Source organism: Homo sapiens, chromosome 21 (genome assembly GCF_000001405.40).
Source record: "Homo sapiens chromosome 21, GRCh38.p14 Primary Assembly".
In the NCBI taxonomy this organism is placed as follows: domain Eukaryota; kingdom Metazoa; phylum Chordata; class Mammalia; order Primates; family Hominidae; genus Homo; species Homo sapiens.
In genome coordinates, this window is record NC_000021.9 from 40,212,470 (window position 1) to 40,235,790 (window position 23,321).

Sequence of the window (23,321 nt, forward strand, 5' to 3'; positions counted from 1 at the left end):
GCTTGGACAGTACATCCTTTCCCAGTAACGAGATGACACACCCCTGTGCATATTTCAGGCTGCTTTCTATCTTGTTTTTCACCATTCTCACACCAAGAACACCAAGGTTTGTGAGGCCTCTGTTGTATATTGTGACAAAGAGCAATTTATATGGTTGGCAATAAAGCAGGTTTTTTAGGGGTTGATATTTTTCAGTTTAATTTTCATCCCTTTAGTGGGTTGAATTGTGGTCCTTCAAAAATATATCAACATCCCAACCCCTGGAATCTCAGAATATGACCTTACTTGGAAATACAGTCTTTGCAGAGTTAAAGAAAGTAAGAACCTCTAGATAAGGTCATCCTTCATTAGGGTGGGTCCTAAATCCACTGAAGAATGTCATATAAGAGACAGAAAAGGAGAAGGCACAGAGACACAAAAAAGAAGCCATGTGAAGGTGGAGGCAGAGACTGGAGTGAGGCAGCCACAGGCTCAGCAGTGTGAAGGGTTGAGGAAGCCTCTGGAGGCTGGGAGAGGTGAGGAACTGATGTGCCCTCAGAGCCTCCAGAAGGCACCAGCCCTGCTGACTTCTTGATTTCAGATGTCTGTGAGAGAAGAAACGTCTGTTGTTTTAAGCCACTCCATCGTGGTCATTTTGCATGGCAGACCTAAGAAACGGATGCCATCTTCAAGATCATTTGAACAGTATAGAAAAATGTATTTCACAAAACTTTTACTTATTATTTCACATTTTTAAACTTCATATTCCACGTTTTGCTTTATTTTGGGTATCAAGGCTTCTAGGGCATATTTTAATCACCCCAGAAGCATGGACATAATAAGACCTGGTTAAAGAGTGCACTGTGAGTGAGCCATGGGGTGAAGGATCCTGCTGCTGCCTCACAGCCTCCTGCCTCCCTGTGCACACATAGGTTTACTGTCAGGACTGTAATGAGGTTTGCATGAATAAACAGCTTTAGAAACAGCTTTCAAGTTTCCACCAAAATACCTGTTAGGAAGTCTTGTTTCCACCATAATTGCTAATTGCTTACCTACATGTGACCTGGGTATCCATAATGCAGACATGAGCAACACATGATTGTAGAAAATTCTAATTTAAATTATTACATTTTTATTTGGGTTCCACGCAGAAAACATCTTAGGCAGCCACTGCAGATTATTTCTAGAAGCGAAGGGAAACCTGGCTTGGAGATGGAGTGGGTGAGAAGCTAGAAGGGAATCTGTTAAGGATGCCAGGGATGGAGGGGTTCCTTCTCCATGAAAATAAGTGGAGTCAAGGAGGAATCCTTGAGGCAGCCTCTCCAAGACATGCAGGATCATGGGTTTTGACTAGGGGAATTTTACGATATTCTAGTGCAGGGATATAAGGAGGCAATGTCCAGGGAACAGGGCTCTTCCCCCAAAGACAGAACCCCTGGGTCCCTCATCCTTTCCGCATCTTCTGCTGTGTTTGGTATCCAAGGCCCTTGGCCCAGCCATTTGGAGTCCACTCAAATCCACACCTACATGGTGAGGAATAAAGGGAGACAAACTCATTGGAGTCATTGCCCCCATAGAGCTTCCTTTCCTAGACAGACGGAAACCCAGCAAACACACGAAGCGAGACATCAGGCAATGAGTGATACCTGGGTGTAGAGAACAAGGCATCCCTTCTATTCTTGCTCCTAAGGATTTCAGGTAGTTTGTTGCCCAGCCCACTTAGGCTATAAATGCTGCTTTCTCTCCAACTAGTCATAGCTATCAGCCAGCCTGGCCACTTTGGAAATAAGAATATTTAATGCACTCATGGACGTGGGAGCCTGTGTTCTAAGACATTCTTACTCAGTCATAGTTAGCTGAGACTCTAAAGAGTGGCATATGTAATCAAGATAAAATATGAAGTGTGCATCTGGTATATTTTGGAGCCTATAAAGAAAGATTCTGTGCTGATAATATTTACATTGGGTTTTTCTTGTTGTTTTGTTTTTCCAAGATGATGGAATATAGGCATTGTTAGCATTCCTTTTCCACTTGGAAAGATAAAATAGTGTGTAGAGATTCACACTGTGAACTTTTTTCCAAGAAGGAACACAGGACCGTAAACAGCTTTGAAAGAAGCTGTGAGTAGCAGCCTACACCGCTGTCTTTGGGAAACACCACTGAACATGTAAGGATTCTTATAGACTACAGGTAAAGGGTGGAAAAAGAGATTTCCAGCAAATGGAAGCCAAAAACAAGGAGTAGCGATTCTGATATCAAATAAAACGGACTTCAAAGCAACAACAGCAAAAAAAAAAAAAAAAACAAAACAAAAAACAACAAGAAAAAGACAAAGGTCACTATATAATGATAAAATGACCAATTAAACAAGAAGATGTAACAATTGTAAATATATATGCATCAAACTCCAGAGTTCCTAAGTTCTTGAAGCAATCAGTATATCAAAAAGACACCTGTACACATGTTTATCACAGCACAATTCACAACTGTAAAGATATGGAATCCTCACGCCTGTAATCCCAGCACTTTGGGAGGCCGAGGCGGGTGGATCACGAGGTCAGGAGATCGAGACCATCCTGGCTAACAAGGTGAAACCCCGTCTCTACTAAAAGTACAAAAAATTAGCCGGGCGCGGTGGCGGGCGCCTGTAGTCCCAGCTACTCGGGAGGCTGAGGCAGGAGAATGGCGTGAACCCGGGAAGCGGAGCTTGCAGTGAGCCGAGATTGCGCCACTGCAGTCCGCAGTCCGGCCTGGGCGACAGAGCGAGACTCCGTCTCAAAAAAAAAAAAAAAAAAAAAAAAAAAAAAAAAAAAAAAAAGATATGGAATCAACCTGAGTCCTCATCAATCCATGAATGGATAAAGAAAATGTGGTTCATACACAACTTACCCATGTAAAAAACCTGTACGTGTACCCTCTGAGCCTAAAATAACAGTTGGAAAGGAAAAAAATCATAAAAGCAAGACTCAACTAAAAAAAAACAAAAAGAAAAAATTGTGATATATATACCATGAAATGCAACCCAGCCATAAAAAAAAATATAATGACTTTTATAGCAACTTGGATGAAACTGGGGGCCGTTATTCTAAGTGAAGTAACTCAGGAATTAAAAACCAGGTACTCATGCTCTCACTTATAAGTGGGAGCTAAGCTATAGGTATGCCAAGGCATTCAGAGTGGTGTAATGGACATTGGAGACTCAGAAGTGGGGAGGGAGGTGAGGAATGAAAAACTAGCAGTTGGGTAAATGTATACTATTTGGGTGATGCGTGCACTAAAATCCTAGACTTCACCACTACACGATTCATCCACGTAACCAAAAACCACTTGTACCATTAAAACTAATGAAAGAAAAAAATTAACTAATTAATTTAAAAACCACACTGGGGAGTCCCTGCATGCTAAGTAGGTAGAACAAATCAATCATAAATGACTGCCATTTTGTCTACATTCTGTATAAAAAAGGTGAAACTGCTCCTTTTCTTCTCCTTTAAAAAAAAAAAAAAACAACTTTGGTATTTGTGCTCAAGACTACTATGGGAAGGACCCAGTTATAAACATGCATTTCACGCCAATATTTCTTCTTCAGAATAAGTGCTAAGCAAGTCAAGACATGCAATGATTTCTTTTGGCCTCCTATAAAACAAATGAGCCCTTTTTGTTTTGTATTTGTTTTAGAGACAGGATCTCTCTGTCACCCAGGCTGGTGTGCAAGATCATAGCTCACTGCAACCTCAAACTCCTGGGCTCAAGTGATCCTCCCACCTCAGCCGTCTGCCCAAGTAGCTAAGACTACAGTCATGTGTCAGCATGCCTGCCTAATTTAAAAAAAAAATTTTTTTTTTTTTAGAAACAGAGTTTCAATATGTTGCCCAGGCTGGTCTTTAACTTATGGCCTCAAGTGATCCTTCCACCTCGGCCTCCCAAAGCTCTGGGATTTCAGGCATGAACAACTACACCCAGCCAATGATCCATTTTTTTATGAAATTTATATTAAACTGGTTGCTTTATAAAAAAAGCTTTTAAAAACCTCTAGAGGCAAAGTCCGTCTATTTTAGAATCTTGATAGAAATCATAGGCTTATCTACATGGATATCTATAATCAACACCTATTAATGCATCATCAGTTACAAAACCAAAGTGAGAACTGTGAGTATAGGAAAATGTCAATACTGTTTAAACTAGATTTATGCAACCACAAGGAATATCACTTAAATTGTTCATCATAGAGCAGATTTTGCACCTGGCAGATGAGACTGTTGTCACAGCAGCACAGGTAACACCCAGCAGTAAGGCCAGGAGGCCCCTCCCGCAGCCAACCAGTGCCCCCATGAGAAGGCAGCCACTGCCCTACCTCCCCCCTGGAGCTGCTGCCCTGTTAGAATGTGATGGAACAGACAGGACACCTTGGCAGGGCTAAGTGACCAATGTCTTTTCTTGGCCGAGAATCTCATGTCATTTGCATTATTTTTCAAAGTCGGTCACCCTAAGTAGAAAACAAAGATGGCTGTGTCTGAAAAACTGAACACAACTAATGATTCCATTCCCAGGCCAGAAAAGGGACCAGTGGACAGATTTCTCTCCTCAAACTCTAAAACACAACCTGGCTTTCTAAAAGAGAATATCTGTTATCCCTTTCTCAAAAATGCCATGACAAAGATTTTCATCATTTCAAGATTATTTTATATTTGAAGTCTCAGAAGACTATGTATATATCTTATTATTGTATTACATTTCTTGATTATATTTTTCTGATTGCAAATGAATAGAAGCTTAATGCAGAAGGTTTGAAAAATGCAGAAAAGTATAAAAAAGCATAGAAAGATATCATTCATAATTGTAATACTGAGAGAAGCAACCATTTTAACAAGCACATTTTCTTCTATCTAAAAAGATATGATTTCTGAGCCTTGTCAACATAATACTACATATATGTATACATATACTTTTCAAACGTCCTGCTTTTTTTAACTTTTATTTTAGGTTTGGGGTACATGTGAAGGTTTAGTTACATAGGTAAACTTGTGTTATGGGGGTTTGTTGTATAGATTATTTCACTGCTCAGGTATTAAGCCCAGTACCCAATAGTTGTCTTTTCTGCTCCTCTCCCTCCTCTGACTCTCCCCACTCAAGTCTTCCACAATGACTGAACTAATTTACACTTCCACCAATAGTGTATAAGCATTCCTTTTTCTCCACAACCTCTCCAGCATGTGTTATTTTTATACTTTTTAATAATAAAATTATTAAAGTCATTCTGACTGGTGTGAGATGATATCTCATTGTGGTTTTGATTTGCATTTCTCTAATGATCAGTGATATCGAGATTTTTTTATATGCTTGTTGGCCACATATATGTCTTCTTTTGAGAAGTGTCTGTTCACGTCCTTTGCCCACTTTTTAATGGGGTGGTTTGTTTTTTTCTTGTAAATTTGCTTAAGTTCCTGATTATTAGACCTTTACCAGATGCATAGTTTTCAAATATTTTCTCCCATTCTGTAGGTTGTTTACTCTGTTGATCATTTCTTTTGCTATGCAGAAGCTCTGAAGTTTAATTAGCTTCCACTTGTCAAATTTTGCTTGTGTTGCAATTGCTTTTGGTATCTTTTTCATGAAATCTTTGCCATTCCTGTGTCCAGGATGGTATTGCCTAGGTTGTCTTCCAGGGTTTTTATGGTTTTGGGTTTTACGTCTTTAATCTTTCTTGAGTTGATTTTTGTACATGTTGTAAGAAAGGGGTCCAGCTTCAATCTTCTGCATATGGTCAGCCAGTTATCCTAGCACCATTTCTTGAATAGGGAGTCTTTTCCCCACTGCTTGTTTTTGTCAGCTTTATCAATGCTAAGATGATTGTAGATGTGTGACCTTATTTCTGGGCTCTCTATTGTGTTCCATTGGACGATGAGCCTGTTTTTGTACCATTACCATGGTATTTTGGTTGCTGTAACCCTGTAGTAGAGTTTGAAGTTGGGTAACGCGATGCTTCCAGCTTTGTTCTTTTTGCTTAAGATTGCTTTGGCTTTCAGGCCCTTTTTTTGGTTCCATATGAATTTCAAAAATTTTTTTCTAGTTCTGTGAAGAATGTCATTTGTAGTTTGATAGCTATAGCACTGAATCTGTGAATTGATTTTGGCAGTACCATTTTAATGATATTGATTCTTCCTATACATGAGCTTGGGATTTTTTTTTTCACTTGTTTGTGTCTTCCCTGATTTCTTTCAGTAGTGTTCTGTAATTCTTGTTGTAGAGATCTTTCACCTCCCTGGTTAGCTGGTATTTTTAGAAATGTTATTCTTTTTGTGGCTGTGAATGGGATTGCCTTTCTAATTTGGCTCTTAGTTTGGCTGTTGTTGGTATATAGGAATTAGTGATTTTTGTACATTGATTTTGTATCCTGAAACTTTGCTGAAGTTGTTTATCAGCTGAAGAATCTTTTGGGCTGAGACTATGAAGTTCTCTACATATAGAATCATGTCATCTGGTTTGACTTCCTCTCTTCCTATTTGGATGCCCTTTATTTCCTTCTCTTTCCTGATTGCTCTAGCTAGGACTTTCAATAGTATGTTGAACAGGAGCAGTGAGAGAGGGCATCCTCGTCTTGTGCCGGTTTTTAAGGTGAATGCTTCCAGCTTTTGCCCATTCCATATGATATTGGCTGTGGGTTTGTCATATATAGCTCTTATTATTTTAAGGTATGTTCCTTCAATACCTAGTTTATTGAGAGTTTTGAAATGGAATGAGTGTTGAATTTTATCAAAAGCCTTTCCTGCATCTATTGAGATAATCCTGTGGCTTTTGTCTTTAGTTATGTTTATGTGATAAATCACATTTATTGATTGTGTATGTTGAATCAACCTTGCATCCTGGAGATAAAGCCTACTTGATCATGGTGGTCAAATCCTGCTTTTTAAAAATGCAGCTATATTATACGACTGCCTCCTATATTAAGAAAACTTATTTAAACCCATAATTTAAAATTACCACATAATATTGAATTAGGCTGATGCACCACCATTCACAGAAGCAGTCACTTCATTAAGCTATTTAGAGAGAAACAATTTTTTATTATTTTAAAGTTCTGTCTTGACTCTTTCTACATAAATATTTGTCTATAACTTTTATTTCTTTGGTATAGATAATTAAGGGTGAAATTAATGAGTCAAAAGACATTAACTGTCTTTGGCTTTTGATATATTTTGTCAAATTGCTTTAAAAAATTTTCCTGCCAAATGATATATCAGAATGTAAATATTTGTGCATCTCTGCCAATATTCCATATTATCATTTATTTTGTTTCTCTATATGTTTATTAATAAAACCAATAACCAACAAGTGAAGTTAAATGAATTTTTTTGAGTAGCATTCTACTTCATAAATGTTTGTAAATTAATACAAATGCCAACAGGTAGAAATCTTACATATGTTTACTTTTGTTATATATACACCAAATAGCATTTTTGAATATGTTTGGTGCAGTTCAGACATAAATATTCTATACTTCCATAAAAGATACTAAATAGCTGTGGACAAAAAGAAAACGGGAATCAAGGCTATCTAAGGAGTTAATGGCTTAACTTTTTCTAACAAACAGCTGTAAACTGTTTTCAACGTTTTGCCAGGTTAGATTTGATCTTTGGTTTTAACTGTGTTATGGGAGCCTTAGCAATATAAAACTGCCTTTCAACATGACATCCTGTCTCTCTCACATCCACTGTGGCCTGGGGTCCTGGAAGCAGGCTTTGGGAAGATGTGAGCACCTTGTGTACACTTGAGGGAGAGTCATTGTCTGTGTGTGGCCAGCTACCTCTTTCTCCATGAACCAACCTCGAGTGGCTATTTCCAAACGTAGCCAAGTCAAGCATTAGAAGAGTTTCATTTAAAGTGAATATACATGTCTGACTTAATAAATAAAATGTAGAAGGAAAATACAGAATGGACTGTACAACAAAATATTCACTGAATTCACTATTTTGTCTCCTCTGAAAACATTCTGTATTTGTAAGAATAACCTTAGCCTGGGTTTTGAGGTTAAGACATTTGGTATTCAAGAGATAAATTAGCTTATCCCACTTTTTAATTAAAATGGTTTTCCTCCATGGTACATAAATAGACTATAAAGAAATTTGATGTTATGCAAACTCTGCTATGATAAACTCTAACACTGTATAATCTTTAATAAAAAGTCTCCACAATTTTGGTGCCACACAGTGATGAGGATGTATTAGAATAGCTATATGAGACTCCCCATGAGAGTTCACAGCTTAACTGTGACTGAAGAAACAGATGCAGGACACAATTTATTTCCTTGTATTCCAAGGTGGATAGAGGTATTGTGCATGTGTGAAAAGCGGTAGGAAATGCAGCAGGCTCACCCTAGCACCCAACCAAAAGGTGGTCATTTATCCTTCTGCGCTCATCACTGTGCTCACTGGGCCACGAGGCTGCACAAGCTTACTTTTACAACGTGTTGTCTGAGGTCACTCCATCAATGGAGGTTTTAATTTCATTAATCTCTGAACCATCCTAGGAGGTAGCTTTGTATTATCTCCATTTCACAGATGCAGAAACTGAGGCTCAGAGGTGCTCAGAAACCTGCTACAATTCACATGGCTAGTGAGAAGCAAAGTAAGGATTTAAATTCATTTTTGCCTGACTATAGTACCTCTGTTTATTATTATGCAAGAGTTGTGGAGTGTCAAACAGGATGAAAAAGAGTTGAGAGCCTCAAAGAGTTGAGTAGAGTGAAACCATGAATAATAGACGGATCTCTCCCAGAACTACACTACCTGTCCCACCCATGCCACCACCACACTACCCAGCCTGCAGAGGGCATTACAATCAGACACCTGATTGGATTACTCAGATCCAAGATCTAGATAACCTGAAAAATTATTTCATATGTATATTTATATGTATAATAATGTGTACGTGTATAATACATATATGTATAATATATAAATATATAATATACATACGTAATAGGATTATTATATAAATAACATAAAATATATATGATATGCATAATATAAAATAATACATATTATATATAATATACATATAAATAGTAATCATAAGATTGTTTTGTATCAACTGATCTCAGGTACAGTCCAACAACACCTGGGATCCCTGATACTTTTTCAAAGGATCTGTGAGATCAGAGCTATTTTCAGAATAACACTAAAAAATTATTTGCCTTTTTAGCCAACAGTACAAAAGCAACAGTGGGCAAATCTGCTGGGGCCTTAATAGGATTCAAGGCAGTGGCACCAAACTCTTCTCACGGCCGTTGTGGTCTTCACAATTGTCCGTCAACACTCGCAACAAAAACAAACGTGGCAGCTTCACTTCAGCATGTCCTTGACTAAGCAGTGGAAATCATTTCATTTCATTCCATCTCAACCATTGAGGGTGTGCGTTTTTAACATTCTGTGTGACAGAATGGCAGAAACATACAAAGCACCTGTGTGTTGGGTGCTCAAGAAAAGCTCCAGTGTGGGACTGAATATGAGCTGATCAGCTGTGATTTTCATGGAACACATTTCTACTTGAAAGAAAAACTGATAAACTATTTTTGTCTGGGTATTTGACAAACATTTTCTCAAAAGGAATGAAGTGAGCCTGTCACTTCAAGGGAAACAACTGAGAGTGTTTGTTGCCAGTGGTAAAATTTGAGCTTTTAAGTCTTAATTCGATTTTAGAAAACTTGGATTCTTCACCACATGCTTAACACACCTTCCCAATATTTAAAGATATTTTGGATGACATTAGTAGTGATATTATAAATGTGATTTTCAAAAGTATTGTATAATGGAGTGCATCAACATTTGGAACGTCTACATTACTAAGTGAATAAATACTTTCCAAAAACCAATGCATGGTGTTATAAAATCATGCATGTGTAAAAGATCCAGAAACACTGATATATTTTAATGCAATAGGGTAGGAAAAGGCTGTTGATATGGTTTTTGGTTCTGCATGGGAATTAATCTTTAAAAACCACCGCTTGCCAAATTTTGGTAGAGTATCAAAGAGCAATAGCCATGATGATCTGAAAATGCTATTAAGCTTCCCTGTCCAACTACACCTCTGTGCGAATTGTATTTTCTTCATATGCTTCAACGAACATAACACATCACAGTAGATTGAATGCAGAAGCAGCTACAAGCCAGACTTCAGAGATTTTCAAAAAATGTAAAATAATTCATCCTCTTCTCACCAATTTCTAAAAATAGTTTATTAAGAAGTATATTTATGATAATATGTCATAGTTGTCATTTAAAAAAATATCTCAGTGTAATCTCTAGTACAGCAAATATTGATAGATCCAACCCACAGAAACAAAAGCCCTTTGGAATCTTCAAGAATTTTTAAGATTATAAAGTGGTCCTAGGATCAAAAATCTTGAGAAGTGTCCTTCTATATAATTGAGACAATTTTAAAGTTTGAAATCTATACTGATCTGTATTAAAGATCTAAAGTCTAATGGAAGTTTCTTAGAATGAGGGCCAAATCTGCAAATATAATAAACTTTAATCCCTGGAAATGTTCTTTGCTCAATATTCTTTTACCCATGACCACGCTCCCCTCCAGCATCCCTACCAACCTTTGTTCCCTTCTCAGGTGTGTCCGGTGTGGCCTCTCTTTCCCCTCCTGACACCAGGAGACCTGCCCAGCAGCCTGCCCTCAGTCCCTGCTCCCGATGTGGGAGCCAAGAGGAAGGTGCAGGATTGGAGTTGCCTCCTGAGACTCACCCTCAGAGCAGCTTTGAGGAGGTCCCCAGGCTGCAGGGCCCTGAACCCCAGGTAACACCTGAACATGGTCCTTAGTCCTGCAACCCAGAGACCAGCCCATCACTTGAGCCTGAGAGCCCCCATTCAAGTCATTTCTGAGCCACGTTGAACTTGCCATCATCACCGCTTTCATTCCAGCTGCTACTATCCTAAGGGAAATGCCATTTTCAGCTCTTAAACACATTCTTTTCTTGCAGCATGACATATGGGCTTCCTAAACACAGGTAAAAAAAGCTCCAATAGGAAGACAGCTTTTCTCAGAACCAGAAGAGTATTTTTAAACATCTTTAACGAAAATCTAAGTTACCTTTTTTTTCTACAGTCATATCATATATACACATTATAATTAGAAACACACATGCTCAGACACATCCATGTATCTATCTAAATAGATTTTTTTGTCTTTTAAGTCATCAATAGCGGTTGTTAACATGATCTAATAAAATGCCTAGGCTATATTTCAATGTGAAATTGTTAAAAGTTACAACATTAATAAAAAGTTGCTCTCATTCACTTATGAAGGTTAGAATGGTTTCTGAGTATGAGAATGACAACACTTATGTGAACACATTTAATGGCCTCTCTAAAACAGAGAGGGTGCTCAAAAATGCCCTCTCATATTTCCCACCTGCCCAGATAGGCCCATGTGATGGTTGCCTCCATCAGGAAGGATGGAGAGCTTCTGGAAACCCCTACCCCACCCCACATGCTGTGGGTCCCTGGGGAATGCACTTGCATTTCCTAGATTTCAGAGAAGTGAAGAATGAATGAAATCAGGATGAAGCAAAATGAATTTCTCAAAATAACCCACAGTGTCATAACAATGTATGTACTAGGGAATTGAGAAAACCTTCGGCTAGGTATAAAAATGGGGATTTTTTAACTGAAAAAGAATTTTTGAACTCTTTAAATATCCTATGATTCAGTCTATTTTTCTCCCCCAAGAAATCAAAGCAGTATAATCTTTCATTAACTGGTTGATTATCACTCATGCATCATTGAACACCAACACTATTTCAAACAAGATCTGGTTAAATTGCAAATGAGAATAAATCTGGTGATAAATGGATATCATATTTAATATTTAAATGTCTCTGGTATTTACACATCTCTGGTAGTTTTGTTCTTAGTCAATTGTTTAAGTGAATGTTGAGAAGAAATGAAAGAAAGATGTTTGCTCCTCTTTGAAAACAATTACGGTTTCCTTGCAGGAATATGCTTATCTTTCACATTTCATCAGAAACATAAGAAGTCTGGCTAGAGGCAATGACACTGATGGGAAGAGCTCTATGATGGGGAAAGACTGCTTGGGAAATGCAGCCTTCTACTATATACACTAAAATTATCAATAACGTTGCAAAAAGAGAATTCAATTCCATAAACTAATATTGATGCACAAATGAGCAAAAATCAACAATTGGCAATAAATGACATCTTAAATCTGCATTTGAAGATTTTACAATAGTCAAAAATAAACATAAAAATTTGCTTTCATATTTTCTAAAATGAGTATCAGAGACACTGCATCCTCTCAAATGACAGCTATTGGGACAACCATCTCTAAGGCTACATCTTACGTTTCATATTTATATGCCAGTGAATATTCAAGTTAAAAAGGACACTTCAAAAAAGATAACAAGTCCATGTTTTGTCCTAAATTGAATTGTCGGTCACCTGAACATTCAATCCCACATGTAGTTGGCTCTATGGACTCTTGATAAAAATGTAAGTTGGTTTGAATTAGAAACTACCTTTTCAAGGAGGTACTGTGCATGCTACAAGGTGAAGCACATGACACTCACACGAGGTACACACACCATACACTCAGGTTGTGTACTGGTAAACACTGAAACATCCCTGTTCACAGGAGATTGGCCAGGCCAACTGCATGAAAGACACTGCCCATTCTCAGACTCAGATCCTCCTGCCAACAAGGTAAGCCTGTGAATGATAGATGAGTGTACACATATGCGTACTTGTATTTCCCTTCTCTTTACTGCCTGCCTTCATTTCTGTTTACAAGACCTGCCCCAACCACTTGACCTTGACCATCATTTCACGGCTGCACCTTGCCCTTTGGACCAAGCCCATGACATCTGCCTTGTGTTTAGAAGCTCATTGCCATCCCAGCCTCTTCCCCCAGCGATCTCAGGCACAGCCTCTCAAAACCCCTTACCCACATTCATTCCCACTCAAATACTCTACAATTTGTAATTTTCCCACCTTCAACCTTTAAGCCTTCTCTATCTTCAAAACGGCTAAAATCCTGCCAGATATGAAAGAAGCCATGACATCTTCTCCTCCACCCTTCTTTGTGTGTGGACTCAACAGTGCCCTCCTGGATCCCTCATCCAGGAGGTTGAGGGATTAAGAGGCCCCGCCATCCATCCTGAGATAGTGCAGACCTTGTTGATAAACGTCTCTATATTCCCGGAGGCCAGTTGCTTCCCTATCCCTACCTATTACCGCTGGGGTCCACACGATCTTTGTTGGGACCATGGAGAGAACACAAAGGTAACAATACTTTTCCCCAGGCCTCAGAGCCTCGATTTGTGTGAACTAAGGGGAGAAGAAAGTAGAGGGCAGAGAAAGTCCCCCTGTCCTCCAACACCTTCTTGGAATCAGACACAAGTGTGTTGGTGATGCTCCACCATTGACCAAGATCCCAGAACCATCACTACATTGATATATTTTCACACTGAAAGGCAATGATTCCAACATGAAAATATCTATTCCCTTATGGGTTTGATAAAGACTTTCTACATATAAATAGCACTTATTTACGAACTGCTTTACATGCATTAACTCTTGCACGTCCACTTATCTATCCAATGAGATGTGTTCTCTTATGATCCCTGTTGTACAATTGGAGAAACTAAGGCTGGAAGAGATGGAGTTAGTACATCGCAGAGCTGGGATACAAAGCCAGACAGTCTGGCCCTCAGAACCTGTGCTCTTGACTTTCTCCCCAAATGGTAGTGAACTCTGCAATAAGGAACATAGATAAGATGCACAGAAAGTTTGGTGACAATGTGCGGACACAAATGTGGAACACATAGTTTTATTTATTACTTGGTAGACAATTCTTTGTAATTCAGTGGGTTCTCGGATTTTCTTGGATTGAAACAGAAATTTCTCCCTTGAACACTGAGTTGATAATAGCTCAGTTCACTTCCTTGCATTTCTTTAGGGGTGCTATTTTAATGTCGGGAGAGATATCAAGCAGCAGAAGAGATTCTATATTAAAATGATATTTTCTATTTGGCTACGAAATGAAAGAAATATAGATACGGACAAGAGCTAAGTGAGGAGGCCTGGTGGCAACAAAATGTCCCAAACCCATGCAGCCCTCCACAAAGACCTCATTGTGTCAGGCTGTAACAAATGAACCCAAAGTCATTCTCTAATGTTTAGAGACCTCTTTCAAGAACAGCAATATAGATCTTTAACCAATCCAAAAGTTAATTTGCCATTTATGTTGTTTATACTTCAGCAATTATTTAACATTTTTTAAAATTTTTATTTTAAGTTCAGGGGTACAAGTGCACATTTATTATGCAGGTAAACTTGTGTCACGGGGGTTTGTTGTACAAATTATTTCATTATCCAGGTATTAAGCCTAGTACCCGTTAGTTACTTTTCCTGATTCTCTCCCTCCTCCCACCATCCACCCTCCAAAAGGCTCCAGTGTGTCTTGTTACTCTCTCTGTGTCCATGCGTTCTCCTCATATAGTTCCCACTTGTAAGTGAGAACATGTAGTATTTGTTTTCTGTCCCTCCGTTAGTTTGCTAAGGATAATGGTCTCCAGCTCCATCCATGTCCCTGCAAAGGACATGATCTCATTCTGCTTTATAGCTGCATAGTATTTCATGATATATGTACCACATTTTCTTTAGTAGTTTCTTAGGCTCTAGGAGGAAAAAAAAATCATTTAAGGATCAAAGACTGATGCTGGGATAAAATGTGTCATGGTTGACTCTGGCCCATTCTGAAGCCACATTCCTGAGAATTCAGCACTAAAGCATTTGGAAGGCTTCGAGCTTTTCCAGAAGACAGGTGCATCCTGTGAGAATCACAGCACAATGACTCAGCCTCCCAGCTGCCACCTTCCTGAAGATAGAACAGGGCAGGCATCTTATGGCATGTTAACCAACTCTTTGGAAAAGGGTCATTTTTGTGGCCTGTCACAAGACTGAGGCTGATAGGAAATGCTACTTTACCAATAGTAGACAACATTTGGGGTAAATTGTTTTCTAAAGGCCTAGCAGCTGTCTCAAGTTCTTCCCATGATATTTCTCAGAATTTGAAATGTGATGACTCTGTCTTAAGATCATACAGGTATTTTGAGGTCTGTAGCTACAGAGTACCACCCCTTTCCCCCACTGCTACCCTTACTGGTACACCTGGGAGGATACCTGCTCTTCTATTTGGTTTTTCAAAGTAATAAGCAACATTTTAGAATACATTTAGATTTATAGAAAAGTTGAGATAATAACACAGGAAGTCCCCATATACTTCACATCTCCACATCCAGTTCCTCCATTATTTACACCTTACATTAGTGTGGCACGTTTGTTACAATTATTGAATGACTATTAATGCATTGTTAACTAAGTGCATACATTGTTCAGATGACCCTACCTGCTACCTAATGTCCCTGGTTTGTTTCAAGATCCCATCCAGGATCCCATTCTACATTCTGCCATCATGTCTTCTTAAGCTCCTCTGTAGCAGTTTCTCAGACTTTCTGTGTTCTTGATGACTGTCAGTCTTGAGGAATGCTGGTCAGGAATTATGTAGAATACCTCTCAGTTGGGGCTTGTCTGTTGTTTTTCTCATTTTTAGGCTGAGGTTATGAGAGTTTTGAAGGGGCAAACTACGGAGGTAAAGTACCATTCTCATCACATCATATCAAGGGTAAATGCTATCAACAGGGCTTATCAGTGTCGCTGTTGACCTTGGCCACCTGGCTAAGGTGGTGCCTGCCAGGTTTCTCCACTGGAAAGCTTCTCTTTCCATGTCGTCCTTTCTGGAAGGAAGTCGCTCTGCAAAGCCCACACATAAGGAGTGAGAGTTATGCTTCATCTTCTTGAGGTGGTATATCTACATAAATTACTTGGAATTCTTTCGTCAGGAAAATTTGGCTATTGTTACCATTTATTCAATCATTTATATCAGTGTGGGCTTATTTTACACTTATCACTTATTTTACACTGATACACTTATCAGGGTGTATTTATTTTAAACTTTGGGTTATAATCCAATACCGCCTTATTTGTTCTGTTGCTCAAATGATTCCAGATTTAACCACTGGGAACTCCTTCAGGTGGCTCCCACATCCTATTGATGTATCACCATCATTGCTTGTTTATTTTATCCTTTCTTTCCCCCTCCACCTCTTTTCTTTTTTTTTTTTTTCTTGGTACTTCTTTATTTTCTAACTCTACAAGAAGTTCCAAGTGCTTGGAAGTTCCAAGTTCTTTTATATTCCCTTACCAGTCTTAGAATTAGCGTTCTCAAAGGAGTCCTGGTTCATTTTATTGGAAAATCCTATTAGAAACCAAGATTTGGGGACAGTTGTGTTTATTGCTACTGTGGCATTGTTCCTTGCTTCCAGGTTCTCTTAGCTGACAGAAAAAAAAATGTGTGTATACTAACACATGTATATACACACATCTATGAATATTCCTGTATGTATCCATTGTATCTCTATTCAGCTAAACATGAGTTCGTACTGATGTCTCTAAGTCTAATCAGGTACCACACAGCTCATTCTAGCCTCTTCCCTAGCTTGTTTGTAAACTCCCACTTCATGGTGAGAAACCCAACTCCCATGATCTGCCACCCAGGGCCCTAATTGTTTAATTACAGTTTAGATGTATAGTAGTTTCAGAAGTAAGTCCCTGTTAGAAACAACTTTGTCAACCAGAGTGCAATGTTTAGGTATAGTTCTTTTTGCCTTTAGTCATACAGCTTCCATTCATCTCCAAAGTTACTTAGGTCAGCATCCAATTAGTAAAGTTATTTAACTCATTTGTAATACAATTAGATTGATTTGCACAGTCTCCATTTCATCCTGGGGTCCCATGACCTCTTAAATGCTTTTTTTGAAAATTTTAATTACATTTTAATTCACCTACATTAAGATTCATTCTTTTTGCTGGAAGGCTCTGTGGTTTTGACAAATACATGGTGTTACATATTCATGGTTGCATTATCATACATAATATCCTCAACTCCCTAAAAATGTCCTGCATGCTTCACCTGTTCAGTCCTCTCCTTTCCCCAAATCCCTAACAACCACTGATCTGCTTCTGAACTCTATTGTTTTGCCTTTTTCAGAATGTCATAAAAATGGAGTCATAGAGTATCCAGCCTTCTTAGACTGGCTTCTTTCCCTTAATATGCACTTAATTTTAGTGGTTTGACTCATCATTCTACTTTATAGCTGAATAATATTCTACTGTCGAGAGATGTACCAAACAAAAGTTTGTATTTATTCATCAGTTGAAGCACAGCTTGATTGGTTCCAAATTTTTGGCAATTACGAACAAAGCTGTTATAAACATTGATATGCAGATTTTTATGTGGACATACATTTTTACATCAGTTGGGCAAACACCCAGGTGTACAATTGCTGGATCCTAAGACAACACTGTATTTAGTTTTGTAAGAAACTGTCGAGCTGGCTCTATACTTCTGCATGCCCACCAGCAATGAATGAGAGTTGCTATTACTTAATATCCTTGTCAGCAATTGATACTATCAGATCTTTGGATTTTAACTATTCTAATAGATGCACAGTACTATTTCAAGGTCATTTTAACTTGCATATTCCTAATGATAAATAATAGCGAGCATCTTTTTCTATACTTGTCATCATATGTTCATAAGAAATAATGGTACAAAGTTTTCTTTTCTTGCAATGTTTTTATTTCTCATATTAGAATAATGCTAGACTAATGGAATGGGTGAAGAAGTGTTCTATCTGCTTTTGTTTTCTGTAAGACTGTGGAGCATTGGTATTAGTTCTTCTTTAAATGTTTGTTAGAATTACCAGTGAAGCAATCTGAACATTGTGCTCTGTTTTTGTTTTTGAAAGGTTTAAAATTATTTATTCAATTATTTTAATAGAAATCGGACTATTCAGTTTATCAGTTTCTCTTTGCTTAACTTCTGGAATTGGCCAATTTTATCTGAATAATCAAATCTGTGAGCACTGACCTTTTAAAGTCGATGGGACCAGTCATAGTGGCCCCTCTTTTATTTCTTTCTCTAGTTTTCTCAGGTGTAGACTTAGGTTTTTGATCTGAGATCTTTCTTCTTTTTGAATATATGGATTTATTGCTATACATTTTACTCTAAACACTGCTTTTGCTGCAAACCACACATTTTAATAAGTATTTTTATTTTTACTTAGTTAAAAATATTGTTCAATTTTTCTTGAGACTTCTGCTCTGACTCATGGGATAACTGAAGAGTGTGTTGTGTTAATTCCCAGATATTAGAGGATTTTACAGCTATCTTTCTGCTATTGGCTGGCAGTTTGATTTTTTTGTGGTCATAAGTTGTGAGGGTTGGGGAGTGTTCCATACTTATGATTAAATCTCAGTGTTTTTTGGGCCTGTGTTTCAGGGCCGTGTCCTTCCAAGTGTCTGCCTCTCTTCCAGGTACACAGATGTCCCCACAACCCCCACCCGGCATCCCTGCTCTGTTCTCTGGCTGCAGCATGCCCAATCCATTTCTCTGAAGCCTTGACTCTCGATTATGCTTTTTTTTTTTTTTCACAACTTAGATCATATAGGTAGGCTGGAGAGGGCTGGAGTGGGAAGGAATTTATTTCTTGCAGGTGAGACAAAATTTCAGAATGTGGTTCTGGAAGAGGTTTTTTTTTTTTTTTTTTAAATTTTCCGTGGAGAGTAGACCTTTGTTATGGAGAAGGTTTGATCTTCACTGTGAGAATCTGGTAAGGTTCCTAGAGAGAAAGTCTGTGAAAGTGTGAGGACGACCCCAAGACGGTGGCCTTTAGGAGCTCCTCACTCTCACTCCAGTCCACACTCAGCCACCAACACTGTACCAAAATTGCCATTTGCTTGTTCTTGCTACTTCACTGGCCCAGCAGCTTCTGTTCCAGGTAAGCCAATCTCTGTTGTTGTATCTCGCTGTGACACCTATCTCCCTAGATTTCCGGGTGAGAGTTTATCTCTGTCAATTCAGTTCTCTGTAAGAAAACTTGTTGATTTTCAGTTTTTCCAGGCTTTTCTTTTATTTCTTTTTTTTTTAGACAGTGTCTTGCTTTGTTGCTCAGGCTGGAATACAGTGGCATGATCACGGCTCACTGTAGCCTCTACCTCCTGCACTCAAGTGATCCTCCCACGTCAGCCTCCCAAGTAGCTGGGGTTACAGGAGCACACGACCATGCCCAGCTGACTGTTCTATTTTTTGTAGAGACAAGGTCTTGTCATGTTTCCCAGGCTGGTCTGGAACTCCTGGGCTCAAGTGATCCTCCTGTCTTGGCCTCCCAAAGTGCTGGGATTACAGGAGTGAGCCACCCAGCCTGGCCTCCAGCTTTTTCTTGTTGTAAAGATGAGAATGATGGCCTACAAGCTCTTCATGTGTCAGAGCTGAAATTAAAAGTTAATGCCTCCTCTTTTGTGATCAAATATTTTATTTACCAATCTGATATATATTTGAGCAGCACAATGAGAAACTGGTCTGGACACCACCCTTGGCATTTTAGGTGATTAATATTTATCTTACATTCTAGGAATCATCTAAATGTTCCCATATATCTACTTGAAAAATATCATTGTTTACCCCACAATGAATATAGTAATTTTTTTTGGATTTTATAAACAGTGCATGTTTACAGAATGGAATTCCACTACTTCTGCATTGGCAGACCTAGAACTGTAACTACAGGCAGATGACGTCACTCATTATGCACTAAGATTGAATTCTATTTCTAGTTGCAGCCCTGAAGACAGGAGAAACAAGAGAAAAATTCAAATATGAAGAAGCCAAAAATGGACTTGTTGAGTTAAATCAAGAGGCTTAGCCACCTGTTATGGGATGGCTGGCTTTTGTGAGTTGCCATAAGAGACAGATAATAAATGTATGAATCTACGGAGCATGGGGTATGATAGACCCATAGGAAAAGCTTTGATACAGCCCTTTGATACACCTTAGAACAGACAGGGATTGAATTTTACAAACAAGATGCTAGTCAGTGTCTCTACAAGGGACTTCTCTGGTTATTAAGAAACCTCAGTCCACTAGGAAAATATCCCTAAAGGTGCCCGGAAAGCTACTGCCCAAGCTGTTTGACATTTCATGTTTTCTCAGTAGATAAGTGTCTTCTACCTCCAGAAAGAGTTAGAATTCCATACAGAGATGTTTTAGAGAAGAAGCCCCAAGCATTACTATTTTTATGGTAAGAAATCTGTGCAGTTTAGCTGTAATTTTTATGAGATATAGCATATTAGTATTTATCATATTTGTAATTCTAATTTAAATATATAATTAAGTAATCAATTTAGACAGGTGATACTAAGCAGGACTTTTACTGAGATTAAACCTAGTAGGGTGATATTTAAGGAGTCATAATAATACTAAGTTATTCATGTTGTTTATTTATTTATAAGTTATTAAGATGCCCAGAACAGTTCTGTTAGATAATTGGAGTATTTAAAAAGGAAATTAAATATGTATAATTTATAAATGTAGTTTAATATATAAAGAAGAAAATGAACTATGTTTATAAATGGGTCTAAACATTAATCAAAAATCTCTTCACGTGAGATAACGGAGAGGATCAGAAAAAACACCTATTGGGTATTATGCTTATTATCTGGGTGATGAAGTAATCTGTACACCAAACCCCCGTGACGACAGTTTACCTGTATAACAAACCTGCACATGTACTCCCGAACCTAAAAGTTTTTTTTAAAATCCCTTAAGAGTACTTGTTTAAATTTACGAGATACATACATAGAATAACAAAATTTATAAGTTGAACTGAAAAAGAGGGTTTTTACATTTATAACTTTAATAAATGACCATATTAAAGTCCAAGTAATATTTTAAATATATTTTTTTCTTCACTCAAAAGCATCTGCAGGCTCCAAAAAACTCACCTAAACAAATATACTTAAATCTGATGAAGAAAATAAAGGTCACTAAAAATTCAACCAACCAGTCTGAGGCAATTTTGGTCAAATTTCTACTGACCATGCTTCAATATGTTCTTATGTATGATACACACACACACAACACGTAATATTGCACAAGTGGAAACACATTACGTATGCTGTTGATATAATTAGAGACTTTTTGCCCCTATGTCCACCTTTCTGTCCTTCTCCTCCACATGGACACACTCCCTCATGCTCATCCCTGCCCTCTAGTCTTTATTAATAACCTGGTGTATGCCCTTTCATATTTTTCTCTGCAATCATACACACGCATGTACACACATACGCAATTTTTTGGTTATAGTTCATTTGACAGAACGGTATCTACTACACACAACTCGGCATTTACTTTCCCAAGCAGCAATAACTCATAGCAATTCCACATGACCTGGTATCACTCCAATTCACTTCTTTTTCATGGCTCAGTAATAGTTCTTGCATGTTAAGATGGCTCCAGGCTGTATCAACATCTGACAGCCTCAGGTAAGGTCTGCACACTCCTTCCTGCCTCGCTTTGGCTGTTGAATGACTCAGTTCATTCAGCCAGTCTGTGCAAATCTCAGTTCCCAGGCTAATGATGCCTGCAGTCCTTCTTAACCAGAAGGCCCATGCTGGGAATGTACAACAGCTCTTGTCACAGAGTGAACCTGAAGAGCTGGCTAGCACGGAACATGGCTGCATTCTCAGAATATTATATCGGTCTTAAAACAGTGATTTGGTTTTCACTTTACTCTTGAGGCATGGAATTACTTTTTGGACAACATGGTGCCTGGGTCAAGGTAAATTTGAGTAATTCTACTAAGACCATCCAAGTTGTGAAGATCTACATAGCGCAGAAGTCAACTCGTCTCTGGTACAGAACAGTTCTGCAACTTTGGACAAGTAGTTTAACATCTCTGAGCCACACAGTTGCTTTGCCTGTAAAATGGAAATCATGGTCATGTCCACTTCAGAGGCTGATGCAAGGATAAATGAGATTACATAAGCAAAGCAGTTCCCACTGGGCCTGGCACTTGTAAGAAAAGATCATTGTAAGCTATTACGTGCTTTTCCATACTTGGTAATGTTGAGTCAAGATGTGGCTGGTTCTTGAACTTTTGGGAAATAAGGAATATGAAAATTCTGTGACCATTCTAACTCCTGTCTATTGTAGCCTCAGCATTCTGTTTCCTGCTTCTCCTCTCTGTCTTTGCCTATTCTATGATGTTCTTGATCCAGTTCTCTCTTCTCTCACTTTTCTGCAGTCACATGGTCTCTGTCATTCCTTCCTGGTACATTTAAATGCATCCAGTTGCCAATTCTTTGGGTGGATATGTTTCTTTTTTTCTTTTTTTGCTGATAGAACTTCATGTACCCTGAATGATTCCCCTGGGTTGTTTTTCCTAAAAATATAATGTGAGTAAAATATGTATCCCCGAAGCCCAGGGTAGAGGCAGGTCACAGGAGGCTTCTTGGTCTCCGTCTAGCTCCAGATCTTCGTAAGCATATCAGGGCATTATGACTTAGTTGCCCTATGTCTGCAATGATAGCAGACCTTGTTAATAAAAATCACTATCACTATCAGCTCTTCCTCGTTTGTATGAAACTAGCCTCTTCAGAAATGCAATAGTATTAGGAGTAATTTATTTGCCTGTGTAATTAAAGAATCTACTACACTACATGCAAGAAACAAAAATTAGCAGAGCAAATGTTTATATTATTCTATGAAAATAGTGATACATTACAATGGAGTTATCCACCTTCAGCCCTACTGAGGCATTGGGATATGGTCAGGGGGCCAGATGGTGACCATAAAATACAAAGATGAGACTCAAAACAGACAGTGGTTTCATATCAGTTAACCGTATGGTCCAGAGTAACCATCTGTACTAGCCTCTACAAGAAACACATTTTGCCTTATGAAGTAGGAAAACACAAGAGAGGAAGCTGTCAGGTTTTCAAAATATGGAGGCATTTATTTTCTTTCGCTGTATGTTTAATTTGAAGAATGTTACATAAAGGCCGATAATTAAGACTAAGAGAGCTGCTACTTCGGTCTGTGTAGGGCTCTTTCTGAGCTCTTTAATCACCCTGTCCCCCTTCAGCAAGAGAGCTCAGCTGAAATAATGGAAAACAGAATTTAGTTCTCAAGGACCATTCGGAAGAAAGAAAATGGCACCACACCCATGAGGGCCAAACACTGCCTTCCATTCAAAATGTATCTTCTCCACCCCTTAGGATCACCTGATTCGACACTTCTTCAACTGTATTCATCTGCAAGCAAATTTGGCCTCACTCCCAAGGACATTGCAGCTAGGAAGTTAATGATGATGCATCACCAGGCTTGCATTCCTTTTCAGAAAAAAAAAAAAATCAGGT

At 38.4% G+C, this 23,321-nt stretch overlaps 1 protein-coding gene across 4 annotated transcripts in view; it reads right to left on the reverse strand.

Annotated features, from left to right (window-relative positions):
- Positions 1-23,321, reverse strand: part of DSCAM (DS cell adhesion molecule) — an 836,160-nt gene that overhangs the window by 201,471 nt on the left and 611,368 nt on the right. The gene's annotated exons all lie outside the window — the stretch shown is intronic.